Genomic DNA, 17,109 nt, shown 5'->3' on the forward strand with positions numbered 1-17,109 from the left:
CCACCTGTGTTATTGCACACCACATCCTTCATGTATCTTTTTCTTAAAATGCCAGATGGCCAATAGGACACAGTAGATACCAATAACTACTATATACTCATTGCATTTAGGCAACATGGACAAATCCCAGAACCACATAATCATGAAAACCAAGTCCCAGTAGAATTTCCCAAGCAAAAGCTATGTTCTGAGAATATATATTGCAAACTAGACCTGGCTTGCTATTATCAGTCATAGAACATAGCATATATTTAGGGCTGTCTGGGAAGAGGAGTTTGAGAGGAAATCAAAAGGAAGGAAAAGGAAGATGAATTTAGGGAGAGATTCAGTCTGTTGTTCAGGGTCCAGGATCATGCAGTTATAACCCATTTGTTTTGTTTTTCTGTTGTTGTTCCAAAAAATGTTTACTAAGGATCTGTTACACACCTAGTAACAGGTCCTAGGACTAACGCTAGGGATCAAAGTCAAATAGCACATGATCTCTCCACTCAAGGAACCGATAGTCTAGGGGAAATGACACAAATGGACCATCTACCAATAATGATCAATGTTCTAAGTTCCACATTTCTACAGAAACACAGAAAAGAGGCATTGGATTATTGGGTCCAGAGGAAATGGACTTTGAGCTGATTTTTATTTTATTTATTTATTTATTTATTTATTTATTTATTTATTTTGAGACAGAGTCTTGCTCTGTCGCCAGGCTGGAGTGCATTGGCGCATTCTCGGCTCATTGCAACCTCCGCCTCCCAGGTTCAACTGATTCTCCTGCCTCAGCCTCCCGAGTAGCGGGGATTACAGGCATCTGCCCCCACACCTGGCTATTTGTATTTTTAGTAGACACGGGGTTTCACCATGTTGGCCAGGCTGGTCTCGAGCTCCTGACCTCAAGTGATCCACCCACCTCAGCCTCCCAAACTGTTGGGATTACAGGCATGAGCCACTGCACCCCGCCTTAATTTTGATTTTGAAATAATTCATTTTTTATTTTGTTTTGTTTTTTTGTTGTGTTTCGTTTTTGAGATGGAATCTTGCTCTGTTGCCCAGGCTGGAATGCAGTGGTGCAATCTCGGCTCACTGCAACCTCCACCACCTGGGTTCAAGCAATTCCCCTCCCTCAACCTTCCAAGTAGCTGGGGCTACGGGTGCATACCACCACGCCTGGCTAATTTTTGCATTTTTAGTAGAGACGGGGGTTTCACCATGTTGGCCAAGCTGGTCTCGAACTCCTCACCTCAAGTGATCCGCCTACCTTGGCCTCTGAAGATTCATTTGTTTTATACAGTGTGGGGAAGGCAGGGGGAGAGGAAAATTCAGGGAGCATACAAGAGCGAGAGGGCCGTGCTGTGGCAAATCTAGTCTGGGCAGTAGTTTCCAAAGTAGGATGCATGTGATGAATCAGTGGGGTGCCAAAAGGAAATTATGTTTATTATTCATATTTTCATTACCCTTAAAACATTTCCTTTTTGGGAGTTGTTTTGAATTATAAAGTACATATTTTATATAGAGATACATACATATTGAATGTATTTATATACATGTTCAGATTTTTTTCTGCTGGAGTGCTTGATGAAGAAAGTTGAGAAACTATTTGTCTGGACCACCCACCCCAGATTTTCTCAGGCTAGACCAGCAAGATCAACCCTAGATTTTTCTCCCTTCCCCAGCTTTGTGAAAATGAGAGAGCTTCCAGGAGATAAGCAGAAAACATGCGTTTCTCTCTATGGTTTGGTTGGTCAATGACCTTGAACAGAATTCCTCCCAGGTGTGGTATGAAATGACTTCATCCTGATATCCTCTGTGGGCAGTCAAGAGAAGGCATTGTCTAAATCAGTGGTTCTTAACTAGGGGTGATTCTATTTCTTCTTCTCCTGAGGGAACATGTGGCAATCTCAAGAGACATTTTTGGTTGCCAGGGGAAGGTAGGTACAACTGGCATCTAGTAGGTGGAGACCAGGGGTGCTGCTGAATGGAGAACTGAGTGCTTCCTTTAGTTAAGTTTTTCACTTTTGACTTGCTCTCTAGATAGTCAGCTTTGAAATTGTCAATTTACTTTGAGTATTTTGGAGCTTTATGCTCAAAGACAAGCTTGGAGATCCTACATAGAGAGTACTTTTTATCTTATATACATTTATATGTAAATGCCTTATAGATTTGAAATATGTATTTTTCATCTAGTTAAGGTCTTATTCATGGTATTTCGGGCAAAAGTCTTTCAAGTATATTCATAGATTGCTTTTTTCCTTTGTGTAGTTTGAAATCCTGAAGAAATATCTTGACACTGGTGGAGATGTCTTTGTGATGCTAGGAGAAGGTGGAGAATCCAGATTTGACACCAATATTAACTTTTTACTAGAAGAATATGGAATCATGGTTAATAATGGTAATTAGTATTATTATTTTCAGTAGAGGCAGTACTTTTCTATCTATTATTTGATATCATAGCCCTCTAGGTCCAGTGGCATAATGGAAAAAGCCCTGGGCTGTGTGTGCGTGTTTTAATGTTCCATTCTCATCAGCAGTCTGAGCCTCCTAGGCTTGGGCTGCTTCCATTTATAAAGCGAGATGGATTGGAACCAAGTTCCAGGGTGCCCTTCAGGTCAAAATTGGTATGAGTCTATAATATCGAATTTATTTCTAACCTAAAATATACCTCCTTCTCTTTTTCCCTCATAGATGCTGTGGTTAGAAATGTATATCACAAATATTTCCATCCTAAAGAAGCTCTAGTTTCCAGTGGAGTCTTGAACAGGTAAGCATGTTGAAAGCAGAAATATCTTGGCAAGGCATCGTCGCTCACACCTGTAATCCCAGCACTTTGGGAAGCCAAGGTGGATGGATCATTTTGAGGTCAGGAGTTCCAAACCAGCCTGGCCAACATGGTGAAACCCCATCTCCCTGTCTAAAAATACAAAAAAAATTAGCCAGGCATTGTAGCAGGCGCCTGTAATCCCAGCTACTCGGGAGGCTGAGGCAGGAGAATCACTTGAGCCCGGGAAGCAGAGGTTGCATTGAGCTGAGATTGCACCATTGTACTCTGGCCTGGCTGACAGAGCGAGACTTCATCTCAAAAAAAAAATAAAGCAGAAATATCCTTACACATAACTCTCATTTCTTCTACATAAATCTTCCCTCGTCTCTTCTCATACATTCTTTTCACTGCCCTTTCTTCTTTCTTGCCTTTTTGTTTTGTGTTATTATAATTTATTTTACTATATTACTACTACTCATTCATCAAATTATTTTTCTTCATCTTTTGAAACTTACTTCACATTCAATTTATTTTTTGTTTATATATATATGTATTTTTTGAGACAGAGTCTTGCTCTGTTGCTCAGGCTGGAATGCAGTGGTGGGAACACAGTTCACTGCAGCCTTGACCTCCCAGGCTTAAGCAATCCTCCCACCTTAGCCTCATACTTGCTGTACTAATGAATGCAGTGTGAAATTCTCAAATTTTTTTTGTTTACTAGATTTTAATTTTTCTTCTTCAAGGGAAATTAGCCGAGCTGCAGGAAAGGCTGTGCCTGGGATCATTGATGAGGAAAGCAGTGGAAACAATGCCCAGTGAGTGTGTTTTCTGATGCCACATGAGGAAGATGTATCATTTTGGAGTCTTCTTTTTCAAAATGAAAAGAGCTTTTGTTTCTGGTTACAAAAATAATCAGAATTTGAACAGTTCAAGAGGAAAAAAGTAGAAGCTCTGCACTGTAAGTCCATGCTCCTCCCCCTGAAGGTAGTCTTAATATAGTATTTAGGCCCAGCATGGTGGCTCACGCCTGTAATCCTAGCACTTTTGGGAGGCCGAGGTGGGTGGCCCACCTGAGGTCAGGAGTTAGAGACAAGTGTAACCAACATGGCAAAATCCCATCTCTACTAAAAATACAAAAATTAGCCAGGCGTGGTGGTGTGCACCTGTAGTCCCAGCTACTCGGGAGGCTGAGACAGGAGAACTGTTTGAACCCCGGAGGCGGAAGTTGCAGTGAGCCAAGATTACGCCACTGCACTCCAGCCTGGGCAACAGAGCAAGACTCCATCTCAAAAAATATATAGTATGGTATTTAGATTTCTAGGTTTTTTTTTTTCCATGTATAAAGTTATAGGTGAGTACCTCTTCATTTTTAATGACTGGATTAAATTGGATATATCCCAGTTTATCTAACCAACTCCCTATTATTGGACATTTAAGTAGTTTATAATGTTTTTCTTTAATAATACCACCTAATGTTTGTCAAGCATCGACTGTGTGACAGGCATGTATTACCTCATTTAATCCTTACAACTCTGGAAAGTTAGAGATGAGATACAGAGATGTAATTGCCCAAATGCACATGACTACTCTGTGTCAGAACTTAGATGCAAACATAGGCAGTCTATTCTAGAGCCTGCACTCTTAACTTCTGTTCCGTATTGTTGTTATAGACAATTTTATAGCCGGGTGTGGTAGCTCACTCCTGTAATTGCAGCACTTTGGGTGGCCAAGGCGAGTGGATCACCTGAGGTCACGAGTTTGAAACCAGCCTGGCTAACATGGCGAAACCCCGTCTTTACTAAAAATAGAAAATTTAGCTGTGCGTGGTAGTGGGCGCCTATAATCCCAGCTACTGGGGAGGTTGAGGCAGGAGAATCACTTGAACCTGGGAGGTGGAGGTTGCATTGAGCTGCCATCGTACCATTGCACTCTAGCCTGGGGGACAGATGGAGACTTCGTCTAAAAAAAAAAAAATTATATTTGTCATTATAGATAATAAAGCACAAATGAACATCTTTTTTTTTTTTTTTTTTGAGATGGAGTCTCACTCTGTCACCCAGGCTGGAGTGCAGTGGCATGATCTCAGCTCACTGCAACCTCCGCCTCCCAGGTTCAAGTGGTTCTCCTGCCTCAGCCTCCCATGTAGCTGGGATTACAGGCATCTGCCACCACACCCAGCTAATTTCTCTATTTTTAGTAGAGATGGGGTTTCACCATGTTGGTCAGGCTGGTCTTGAACTCCTGACCTCAGGTGATCCACCTGCCTCGGCCTCCCAAAGTGCTGGGATAAGTGAACATCTTTGTATGTACAGTTTTGTGCACTTGTGGTAGTATTTTTTTTTTTTTAATTGATCATTCTTGGGTGTTTCTCGCAGAGGGGGATTTGGCAGGGTCATAGGACAATAGTGGAGGGAAGGTCAGCAGATAAACAAGTGAACAAAGGTCTCTGGTTTTCCTAGGCAGAGGACCCTGCAGCCTTCCGCAGTGTTTGTGTCCCTGGGTACTTGAGATTAGGGAGTGGTGATGACTCTTAACGAGCATGCTGCCTTCAGGCATCTGTTTGACAAAGCACATCTTGCACCGCCCTTAATCCATTTAACCCTGAGTGGACACAGCACATGTTTCAGAGAGCACAGGGTTGGGGGTAAGGTCACAGATCAACAGGATCCCAAGGCAGAATTTTTCTTAGTACAGAACAAAATGAAAAGTCTCCCGTGTCTACTTCTTTCTACACAGACACAGCAACCATCCGATTTCTCAATCTTTTCCCCACCTTTCCCCTCTTTCTATTCCACAAAACCGCCATTGTCATCATGGCCCGTTCTCAATGAGCTGTTGGGTACACCTCCCAGACTGGGTGGTTGCCAGGCAGAGGGGCTCCTCACTTCCCAGTAGGGGCAGCCGGGCAGAGGCGCCCCTCACCTCCTGGATGGGGCGGCTGGCCGGGCGGGGGGCTGACCCCCCCACCTCCCTCCCGGACGGGGCGGCTGGCCGGGCGGGGGGCTGACCCCCCCACCTCCCTCCCGGACGGGGCGGCTGGCCTGGCGGGGGCTGACCCCCACCTCCCTCCCGGACTGGGTGGCTGCCGGGCGGAGACGCTCCTCACTTCCCAGACAGGGTGGCTGCCGGGCGGAGGGGCTCCTCACTTCTCAGACGGGGCGGCTGCCGGGCGGAGGGGCTCCTCACTTCTCAGACAGGGCGGCTGGGCAGAGACACTCCTCACCTCCCAGACGGGGTCGTGGCCGGGCAGAGGCGCTCCTCACATCCCAGACGGGGCGGCGTGGCAGAGGCGCTCCCCACATCTCAGACGATGGGCGGCCGGGCAGAGATGCTCCGCACTTCCTAAATGGGATGGCATCCTAGATGGGATGGCGGCCGGGCAGAGACGCTCCTCACTTTCCAGACTGGGCAGCCAGGCAGAGGGGCTCCTCACATCCCAGATGATGGGCGGCCAGGCAGAGACGCTCCTCACTTCCCAGACGGGGTGGCGGCCGGGCAGAGGCTGCACTCTCGGCACTTTGGGAGGCCAAGACAGGCGGCTGGGAGGTGGAGGTTGTAGCGAGCCGAGATCACGCCACTGCACTCCAGCCTGGGCACCGTTGAGCACTGAGTGAACAAGACTCCGTCTGCAATCCCGGCACCTCGGGAGGCCGAGGCTGGGGGATCACTCGCGGTTAGGAGCTGGAGACCAGCCCAGCCAACACAGCGAAACCCCGTCTCCACCAAAAAAAATACGAAAACCAGACAGGCGTGGCGGTGCGCGCCTGCAATCACAGGCACTCGGCAGGCTGAGGCAGGAAATCAGGCAGGGAGGTTGCAGTGAGCCGAGATGGCAGCAGTATAGTCCAGCTTCGGCTCGGCATCAGAGGGAGACCGTGGAAAGAGAGGGAGAGGGAGACCGTGGGGAGAGGGAGAGGGAGAGGGAGAGGGAGTGGGAGTATTTTTTAGGGTAAATTTCTCAGCATTGAAATTTCTGGGTCAGAGGTCTTCCAACAGATGGGTTACCAAATGTAATGTGTTACCAGATGTCTCTCAGGGAGGTGGTACCACTTACAGTCCCTATGAGCACACACCTTTTTCCTCTCTTGCCAGCATGGAGTATTCTAGTAAACATCGTATCTCTTTCTTTTAATTTGCATTTTTTTAAATTATTAGTGCATAGGATGACCTTTAAAGTCTATTGGCTGATTGTATTTCTTCTGTGAACTTCATGTTCATTGCTTTTTGGCCATTTTTCAATTGATGGTTTGTCTTTTCGCATTCATTTATAATACCTCTGTACTTTGAAATATTTTACCCAGTAAAAATTGACATTCTTATGTAGTTAAAGCATGTTACAAAGTTTTAGTAGTGAAAATAATGTGGTCCGGGTACCGTGGCTCACCCCTATAATCCCAACACTTTGGGAGGCTGAGGCAGGCAGATCACTTGAGCTCAGGAGTTCAAGACCAGCTTGGGCAACATGGCGAAACCCTGTCTTTACAAAAAAATACAAAAATTTAGCCGGTCGTTGGTGGCTCGCACCTGTATTCCCAGCTACTCAGGAGACTGAGGCTGGAGAATTGCTTGAGCCCAGGAAGCAGAGGTGGCAGTGAGCCGAGATTGCGCCGCTGCACTCCAGCCTGGGTGACAGATGAGACTCTGTCTCAAAAAATATGTAAATAAAATGAAATTAAAAAATAAAATAATGTGATTGGCTGTGTGCAGTGGCTCACACCTATAATCCCAGCACTTTGGGAGGTCGAGATGGGCCAATGGGTTGAGGCTAAGAGTTCAAGACCAGTCTGGGCAACATAGTGGGACCCTGTCTCTACAAAAAAAAAAAAACTGAAAATTAGCCATATGTGGTGGCACACACCCATAGGCCCAGCTACTCTGGAGGCTGAGGCAAGAGGATTGCTTGAACCCAGAAGGTTGAGGCTGCAGTGAGCCGTGATCATGCCACTGTACTCCAGCCTGGGTGACAGAGCAAGACTATCTCAAAAAAATAATAAAATGTGGTCATAGTTCAGAAATAGTTTTAAAAAAATAAATAATACAGATTAAAATTAGACCAAAAACATATATGGAGGGTGGGGATTATTTGTGTATAGTAAAAGTGGCATTTCAAATATTAGAGATGGATGGCATAATTCTGGGTAAACATTTGGAGAAATAGTTTCATTTTCATACCACACCCCAAAATGTATTCTGGATAGGCTAAAATTTTTAATATTAAAAATGAAAGCATATGCCGGACGCGGTGGCTCACGCCTGTAATCCCAACACTTTGGGAGGCCGAGGTGGGCGGATCACCTGAGATCAGGCGTTCAAGACCAGCCTGACCAACATGGTGAAACCCCATCTATATTAAAAAAAACAACAAAATTAGCCAAGGATGGTGGCGGGCACCTGTAATCTCAGCTACTCAGGAAGCTGAGACAGGAGAATCACTTGAACCTGGGAGGCGGAGGTTGCATTTAGCCGAGATCACACCATTGCACTCCGGCCTGGGCAACAGGAGCGAAACTCCGTCTCAAAAAAAAAAAAAAAAAAAAAAAATTAGCCTGTCGTGGTGGTGCATGCCTGTCATCCCAGCTACTCGGGAGGCTGAGGCAGGAGAATTGCTTGAACCCAGGAGGCAGAGGTTGCCGTGAGCCAAAATCGCACCACTGCACTCCAGCCTGGGCAACAGAGCAAGACTCCGTCTTGAAAAAATAAAATAAAATTAAATTAAATTAAATTAAATTTTAAAAGAAAGCATAGAAGTACTTAAAGAAGCCCAGGTACGATGACTCATGCCTGTAATCCCAGCATTTTGGGAGACTGAGGCAGGCAGATCACCTGAGGTTAAGAGTTCAGGACCAGCCTGGCCAACCCCCATCTCTACTAAAAAATACAAAACTTAGCCAGACGTGGTGGCACAAGCCTGTAATCCCAGTTACTCGGGAGGCTGAGGCAGGAGAATTGCTTGAACCCGGGAGGCGGAGGGTGCGATGAGCCGAGATTGCATCACTGCACTCCAGCCTGGGCGACAGAGCGAGACACCAACGCAAAAAAAAAAAAAAAAACCTTAAAAAAAATAAGTGAATATTTTAAATTCTTGGAGTAGGGAAGACCTTTCTTAGTAGAAACAAAGTCAAGTCATAAGGGGGAATATGTATAGCAATATAATTCACAGAGTTAATATTTTTGACTGTCAAGAATCAATCTAGGCTGGGCGCAGTGACTCACGCCTGTAATTCCAGCACTTTGGGAGGCTGAGGCAGGCAGATCACGAGGTCAGGAGATCAGGACCATCCTGGATAACACGATGAAACCCTGTCTCTACTAAAAACAAAACAAAACAAAATTAGCCAGGCGTGGTGGCGGGCACCTGTAGTCCCAACTACTCGGGAGGCTGAGGCAGGAGAATGGTGTGAACCCGGGAGGCGGAGCTTGCAGTGAGCCGAGATCACGCCACCGCAATCTAGCCTGGGCGACAGAGCGAGACTCCGTCTCAAAAAAAAAAGAAAAAAAAAAAGGAATCAATCTAATTATTTCACTTTGTGTCAGCTTATCCAACTGGTATAGGTAAAAGAACTGTAGACTTGGAATTAGAAGGAATTGTTAGAAGTTCCTGATTCCCTCTCTTACTTGCCAAGGGTGACCCAAGGCATAGTAACTGTTAGTGTCTGTTTCCCTATCTGTGTAGTGGGGATAATGTTAACCTTACAAAATTGTTGGAAAATTTCAGTAAGGTGATATTTGTGAAAGTGCTTTGTAAAGTTGAAAGCCTAGTGCCCTACTTGTTGTTGCGTTATGACTTTGTAATTAATTATAGTGAAGGGAATATGTCTAGTTGTTCCTTTCCTGGATTATCCAGGAAACAGCTTCCTGGTAGACTTTGAGGTATGGACTAGTCCTGCTTCTTGCTTTGAGGTATCTTTGCCTGTTGGAGTCTCAGATTCTCCTTTATCCTTATTTCCTGTTATGTCCCTTCTCCCTTCTCTCACTCTGCTGTAGCCACACTGACTTTGTTTCAATCCTTAAATAAGTGAAGCTTGTATTCATCTTAGGGACTTTACACAAGCTATTCCGTCTTTTAGGAAAACTCTTTCTGAAACTTTTCACTGAGCTAATCTTATTCATTCACATGGTTTGGAAAGTTCTGTTTTGGGGATGGGTGTTTAAGTTTATACTTAGTCTTATCAAAATGTCAGTCTTTTTTTTTTTTTTTTTTTTTTTTTTTGGAGACAGAGTTTCGCCCAGGCTGGAGTGCAATGGCACCATCTCATCTCACTGCAACCTCCACCTCCTGGGTTCAAGCAATTCTCCTGACTCCCGAGTAGCTGGGATTACAGGTGCCCGCCACCACACCCGGCTAAGTTTTGTATTTTGAGTAGAGACAGGGCTTCACCATGTTGGCCAGGCTGGTCTTGAACTCCTAACCTCAGGTTAGTCTGGCCTAGTCTCATTGATTTTTTTAGTAGTAATAAAAGAAATACAGGAGTGTAAATAATAGCAAATAGGCCGGTCACAGTGGCTCACACCTGTAATCCCAGCAGTTTGGGAGGCTGAGGCGGGTGGATCACCTGAGGTCAGGAGTTTGAGACTAGCCTGACCAACATGGTGAAACCCCATCTTTACTAAAAGTACAAAAAGTAGCCGGGCGTGGTGGTGCACACCTGTAATCCCAGCTGCTCGGGAGGCTGAGGCAGGGGAATTGCCTGAACCCAGGAGGCAGAGGTTGCAGTAAGCTGAGATCACGCCATTGCACTCCAGCCTGGGTGATAAGAGCAAAACTCCATCTCGAAAAATAATAATAATAATAATAATAGCAGATAGTTTTTATCTTGCTACTCAAGTGTCCGTTCTCCCTTATGCCTTGAGAATCATCTTCCATTGATTGCATTTTGGGAAAATGTGGGGGATAGATGTGCATTGACCTCCATATGACTATTTCTCCCACCTACTTTTTCTTCCTCCATGGACAACTGCTTGTTTTCTTCTGCTTCTGGCCCAGAGATCATGGGCTGTAATCCACCTTGCTGGGATACTGCTGGAGTAAGGGTAGAAGGTGGAGTTTGGAGAATGTGGGCCAAGTACCACTTCTCTTTCATAGTATGACAACAAAAGTCATAGGGTAGATGAGATTTTACTGAAGGAATGGGGAAGATTAACACCAGAGGGAGGCCAGGCCCGGTGGTTTATGCTTGTAATTCCAGCACTTTCGGAGGTCAAGGTGGGCGGATTGCCTGAGCTCAGGAGTTCAAGACCAGCCTGGGCAACATGGTGAAACCCCGTTTCTACAAAAAATATAAAAATTAGTAGGTGTGGTGGCATGCACCTGTGGTCCCAGCTACTCAGGGCACTAAGGCAAGAGAATCGCTTCAGCCCAGGAGATTGAGGCTGCAGTGAGCCATGTTCATACCACTGCACTCCAGCCTGGGCAACAAAGTGAGATCCTGTCTTAAAAAACAAAACAAAACAAACAAAAACACTAGAGGGAAATAATTTTAAACTTAAGCCAAAAAGAATTTTTGTTGTCTAAAGAAAAAGGGAAATTAAAATCTCTATGAGGAACCCCTCATGGGTGCTTCCCCTATACCCCCTCCCCCAGTTTCTAACCTTACGCCCTGGTGTTGAGATCTGTGTTTCTCTCCATTCTGAGAGCACTTCCTTCAAGCTTTGCAGAGCTCCATCTTTGAGTAAAACCCTAACCCCTCCTACATGGGTTGGCTTCACCCCAGAATCTGCACCCCACCTTTGCTCCTCTATCCCACACCCTCTCCAGGAGTACATTGCCCCAGGTCAGACCAATTCACTCTAGATAATCTAAGACAAGTCTTTGTTAGGACAGTGGAGAGTAGAGGAGGGACTCCAAAGCAGATCTGTGTAGAAGTGTCCATTATAGCGTATATTTATGCCTCTGTTCATGTGACATTTAACTGGTAACATACCCATCCAGTGATATACATTAATTCTTAGAGATAGCACTAGCCAAACCTAAGGAAGAAGAACGTATTTACCAGTAAGATATTATTATGCAGAGCAGCTTGAGTTCAGTTCTTGGATGAGGCCCCATCCTCTTCCTCCTCCCTCCATCAGGGGCTTCTTTAGTTCTCCCAGTTACAGTCACTTACACTTTCCTGTTAATTTACTTTCATGTTTTTTAAAATGCTTTATTAAATGTGTAGCTAGAGTTGTCCCAGTTTTTAAGTTAACAAACCAAAGCTTAGAAAAAATTTTTTGTTTGATAATGAATCAAAGAGTGTTACTCAGCTGAGCACCGTGGCACACGCCTGTAATCCCAGCACTTTGGGAGGCCAAGGTGGGCAGATCACTTGAGGCCAGGAGTTCAAGACCAGCCTGGTCAACATGGTAAAACCCTGGCTCTACTAAAAATACAAAAATTAACTGGGCGTGATAGCAGGCACTGAGGCTGCAGAACAGCTTAAACCTGAGAGGCGGAGGTTACAGTGAGCCAAGATCGCACCACTGCACTGCAGCCTGGGTGACTGAGTGAGACTGTTTCAAAAAAGAGTGTTACTCAAGAAACATTGAGATTATTTTCAGAATTTTTGTATTCATGTTTTTAAAATTTGAATGTGTTTCTTTAATTTCTTACAGGGCTCTCACCTTTGTGTATCCTTTTGGTGCCACATTGAGTGTCATGAAACCAGCAGTGGCGGTTCTGTCTACAGGTTCTGTCTGCTTCCCACTTAACAGACCCATTTTGGCTTTCTATCACTCAAAGGTACAGCTTTTCTTAGATATGGGTATAGATGTTATTTTTATTGTTGAAATAATAAAAACCACCTTACCATTTCCAGAAGGCTTCTATATGTTTTCTCACTGGTCTTCCTGCCAGTCCTGCAAAGTAGCATTTCAGCTATATACATTTTGCTTATGGGGAAACAGTGGATTGTCCAGTAATTGATGAAGTTAAGGCCTAAACCTAGCTCTTATTATTCTAAACCCGAAGCTTTTCCACTGTAGCATGAGGCTACCTGTATTATAACTTTTTTTTTTTTTTTGAGATGGAGTCTCTGTTGCCCAGGCTGGAGTGCAGTGGTGCAATCTCGGCTCACTGCAAGCTCCACCTCCCGGGTTCACGCCATTCTCCTGCCTCAGCCTCCCGAGTAGCTAAGACTACAGGCACCTACCACCACGCCCAGCTAATTTTTTGTATTTTTAGTAGAGACAGGGTTTCACCATGTTAGCCAGGATGGTCTCGATCTCCTGACCATCCTGCCTCGTGGTCCACCCGCCTTGGCCTCCCGAAGTGCTGTATTATAACTTTTAAAATAACTTTTTTTTTTTTTTGATCCCATGGCAGCATATTGATGAAAATAACTTTTAATCCTGTCTGTGACTATGGGCTGTCACCCTCAGTGTAAAGAGAATACATTCAGGAACAGATGGAGTTAACATATTACACAAAATAGCACAGAATTATGTTGCTGTTAGTTTATACTAGGAAAATATATCAGAAAACTATTTTTCCAGTTATTATCCTAGAGACCCCATAGAAATGTGGGCACAGCTAGTCCCAGGCAGTGACCCAACATCCCACTGCCTTTCTTTTTCTTTTTTTTTTTTTTTTTGAGATGGAGTCTCACTCTGTTGTGCAGGCTGGAGTACAGTGGCATGATCTTGGCTCACTGCAACCTCCGCCTACCAGGTTCAAGCAATTCTCCTGCCTCAGCCTCCCGAGTAGCTGGGATTACAGGTGCCTGCCACCAAGCATGGCTAATTTTTGTATTTTTGGGAGAGATGGAGTTTCACTATGTTGGCCAGGCTGATCTCGAACTCCTGACCTCAAGTGATTCACCCACCTTGGCTTCCCAAAGTGCTGGGATTACAGGCATGAGCTCTGTTGCCCAGGCTGGAGTGCAGTGGCGCAATCTTGGCTCACTGCAATCTCTGCCTCCCGCCTCAGCCTTCCAAGTAGCTGGGATTACAGGCCTGCACCACCACACCCTGCTAATTTTTGTATTTTAATAGAGATGGGGATTTACCATGTTGCCCAGGCTGGTCTTAAACTTCTGAGCTCAGGCAATCCCCCCCACCTCAGCCTCCCAAAGTGCTGGGATTATAGGCATGAGCCACTGTGCCCAGCCCCCACTGCGTTTTAATTCACATTTTGCTGAATTTACCTTCATCTGCCCCCTAAGACAGAATTCACCAGCTGATCTCCTAATTTTTTTTCTAGGGACCTAGGTGTCTCTAGCTCTGAACAATCCTATTTTTCTTTGTGGTACCTAGGAATTACCTTTCCCTTCTTATTTAAAAGCTCTCGGGCTGGGCGTGGTGGCTCACACCTGCAATCCCAGCACTTTGGGAGGCCAAGGTGGGTGGATCACTTGAGGTCAGGAGTCCAAGACCAGCTTGGCCAACGTGATGAAACCCCGTCTCTACTAAAAATACAAAAATTGACCAGGCGTAGTGGCTCACGCCTGTAATCCCAGCACTTTGGGAGGCCAAGGCGGGTGGATCACGAGGTCAGGAGATTGAGACCATCCTGGCCAACATGGTGAAACCCCCTCTCTACTAAAATTACAAAAATTAGCTGGGCGTGGTGTGGTGGCACGCGCCTGTAATCCCAGCTACTCAGGAAGCTGAGGCACGAGAATCGCTTGAACCCAGGAGGTTGCAGTGAGCCGAGATTGTGCCACTGCACTCCAGCCTGGAGGCAGAGTGAGACTCCGTCTCAAAGAAAAAAAAAATATTGAAAAATTAGCCAGGCACGGTGGCAGGCTTTGCAGCATTTGCTTTTAACCTGGTACAAATCAGAGGGTTTTTTTTACCAATTTTTTAAAAATGTATGTAATGTGTGTATTTATGTCTCTTGACATCTCTGGCTTAGTATAATTCTTTTCCTGGGGAAGTTATAACTATGCCTGTTCCCTGTATGTGATGTAGCTAAAAAAACCGATTTCATTTTGTATTTTTACTATTGAACTGGTTTTCTCATTACAAAAGTAATAATGTGCTCATTGTTGGGCTGAGCGTGGTGGCTCACAACTGTAATCCCAGCACTTTGGGAGGTCAAGGCGGGCAAATCACTTGAGGTCAGGAGTTCGAGACTAGCCTGGCCAACATAGTGAAACCTTGTCTCTACTAAGAATACAAAAATATTAGCCCAGCATGATGGTGAGTGCCTGTAATCCCAGCTACTCCAGAGACTGAGGCAAGAGAATCACTTGAACCCTGGAAGCGGAGGTTGCAGTGAGCCAAGATCATGCCACTGCACTCCAGCCTGGGCAGTGGAGCAAGACACTGTCTCCAAAAAAAAAAAAAAAAAGTAATATTGTAGAAATGTTACAATAATTGTAGAAAAAATGAACAATACAGAGATAAAGCAAAAGAAAAAAAATTCCCCCATCGCACTACTCCAAGACTCTAAGACAGCCCAGGTTGACATATTATTCACTTTCTCCTACTTTTGCTTTGCCTTATTTTTATTTATTTGCCTCGTAAGCTTTAAAGTAGAATAGCAATATAATTTATAGTATAGGTCAGGCATGGTGACTCATGCCTATAATCTTAGCACTTTGGGAGGTTAAGGAGGTAGGATCACTTGAGGCCAGGAGTTTGATACCAGCCTTGGCAACATAGTAAGACCTGTCTCTACGAAAAAGTTAGCTGAGTGTGGTGTTATGCTCCTGTAGTCCTGGCTACTTGGGAGGCTGAGGCAGGAGGATCACTTGAACCCAGGAGTTCGAGGCTGCAGTGAGCCATGATTGTGCCACTGCACTCCAGCCTGGGAGACAGAGTGAGACCCTATCTCTAAAAATGGGAAAAAAATTATAGTATACTTTTTTTTTAACCGAATGATGTGTTGGAAGCATTTTCCCATGTTACTGAAAACCCTTTATAATATGAAATTTAACTGCTGAAGAAGGTTGCATCATTCTGAATTACTTTTTTGTGAACATTTGGATTTATTTCTAATTTTTTGTGACTATAACTACACAACTGGGCATAGAATTTTTTATGTTTCAGACTGCTTTTGTTGCATATGTTAATAGTTTCAGCAACAATGTGTGAAAGAACTTATTTCACTAAAATTCGACTAGCGCTGTTTATATCATATTTTCATATTTATTTATCTGATAGGAAAAAGTACTTTGTTTTTATTTGTTAAAAGTTACAAGTATTGAAAATTTTTCTTATTAACCAGTCATTATTTTATGACTCTCTCATGCTTGTGCCTTAGTTTTCTGGTTTTTTTTTTTTGAGACGGAGTCTCACTCTGTCGCCCAGGCTGGGGTGCAGTGGTGCGATCTTGCTTCACTGCAACCTCCGCTTCCCAGATTCAAGTGATTCTCATGCCTCAGCTTCCTGAGTAGTTGGGATTACAGGCATGCACCACCATGCCTGACTAATTTTTGTATTTTTAATAGAGACGGAGTTTGGCCATCTTGGCCAGCCTGGTCTCGAACTCCTGGCCTCAAGTGATCCACCCGCCTCGGCCTCTTAAAATGCTGGGATTACAGGCATGAGCCACTGCGCCCAGCCTTGCCTTAGCTTTCTTTGAGACTGAGTCTTACTCTGTTGCCCAGGCTGGAGTGCAGTGGCGCGATCTCAGCTCGCTGCAACCTCGCCTCCCAGGTTCAAGCAATCCTCCCGCCACAGCCTCCCAGGTAGCTGTGGGAGTACAGGTGCGTGCCACCAACCCTAGCTAATTTTTGTATTTCTAGTAGAGACAGGGTTTTGCCTCCCATGTTAGCTAGGCTGGTCTTGAACTACTGATCTCAGGGTGATCTGCCCACCTTGGCCTCCCAAAGTGCTGGGATTACAGGCGTGAGCCACTGCACTCAGCCTGCTTTAGCTTTCTATTTGGATCTTACTTAAATACTTTTTTTTTTGGTACCCATAGGTATCTTTAATTGTACAGACTGTCTTTGAGTTTATCTTTTTTCCCTTTAAAATTATGATCTTCGTTTATAAGATAAACAACAATAGGAAAATGCTGTAGAATCAATTTAATTTTTTTTTTTTTTTTTAATTTTTAGAGACAGGGTTTCCCAGGCTGGAGTGCATGGTGCAGTCATAGCTCATTGTAACCTCGAGCTCCTGGGCTCAAGTGATTCTCCTGCCCCAGCTTCCCAAGTAGCTAGGACTACAGGTATGCCTCACCACACCCAGCTAATGTAGAATTAATTTATGTTAGTTTTCGTTAAAGCCAAATAAAAAAATATAGAAGTATCTAAAATGAGAGGCAGGTTAAAGTGTAGTAGTTATTATAGTTGGTCTTTCTTTTTTTTGTTTTTTGAGATGGAGTCTCGCTCTGTTGCCCAGGCTGGAGTACAGTGGCGCGATCTCAGCTCACTGCAACCTCCGCCTCCTAAGTTCAAGCGATTTCCCTGCCTCAGCCTCCCGAGTAGCTG

At 44.7% G+C, this 17,109-nt stretch overlaps 1 protein-coding gene across 7 annotated transcripts in view, besides 1 other annotated feature; it reads left to right on the plus strand.

Annotated features, from left to right (window-relative positions):
- The window catches only part of IFT52 (intraflagellar transport 52), a 56,363-nt gene that overhangs the window by 10,570 nt on the left and 28,684 nt on the right, over positions 1-17,109 (plus strand). For 3 of the 7 annotated variants that reach the window (NM_016004.5, NM_001303458.3, NM_001303459.3), the window contains exons 4-7: positions 2,254-2,383; positions 2,677-2,752; positions 3,496-3,567; positions 12,344-12,470. In NM_016004.5, the coding sequence (NP_057088.2) occupies positions 2,254-2,383; positions 2,677-2,752; positions 3,496-3,567; positions 12,344-12,470 (405 nt within the window). Of the gene's footprint in view, positions 1-2,253; positions 2,384-2,676; positions 2,753-3,495; positions 3,711-12,343; positions 12,471-16,734; positions 16,848-17,109 lie in introns of all 7 variants that reach the window. The other 4 variants (NM_001323579.2, NM_001323581.2, NM_001323578.2 and 1 more) reach the window with 2 other exon arrangements.
- Positions 5,859-6,700: an enhancer, noted in NCBI's record as "H3K27ac-H3K4me1 hESC enhancer chr20:42236005-42236846 (GRCh37/hg19 assembly coordinates)". NCBI's record gives its function as "activates a minimal SCP1, AML or CMV promoter by ChIP-STARR-seq in naive H9 embryonic stem cells {active_cell/tissue: H9 hESC(naive)}" and the evidence as "EXISTENCE:reporter gene assay evidence [ECO:0000049][PMID:30033119]".

Source organism: Homo sapiens, chromosome 20 (assembly GCF_000001405.40).
Source record: "Homo sapiens chromosome 20, GRCh38.p14 Primary Assembly".
In the NCBI taxonomy this organism is placed as follows: domain Eukaryota; kingdom Metazoa; phylum Chordata; class Mammalia; order Primates; family Hominidae; genus Homo; species Homo sapiens.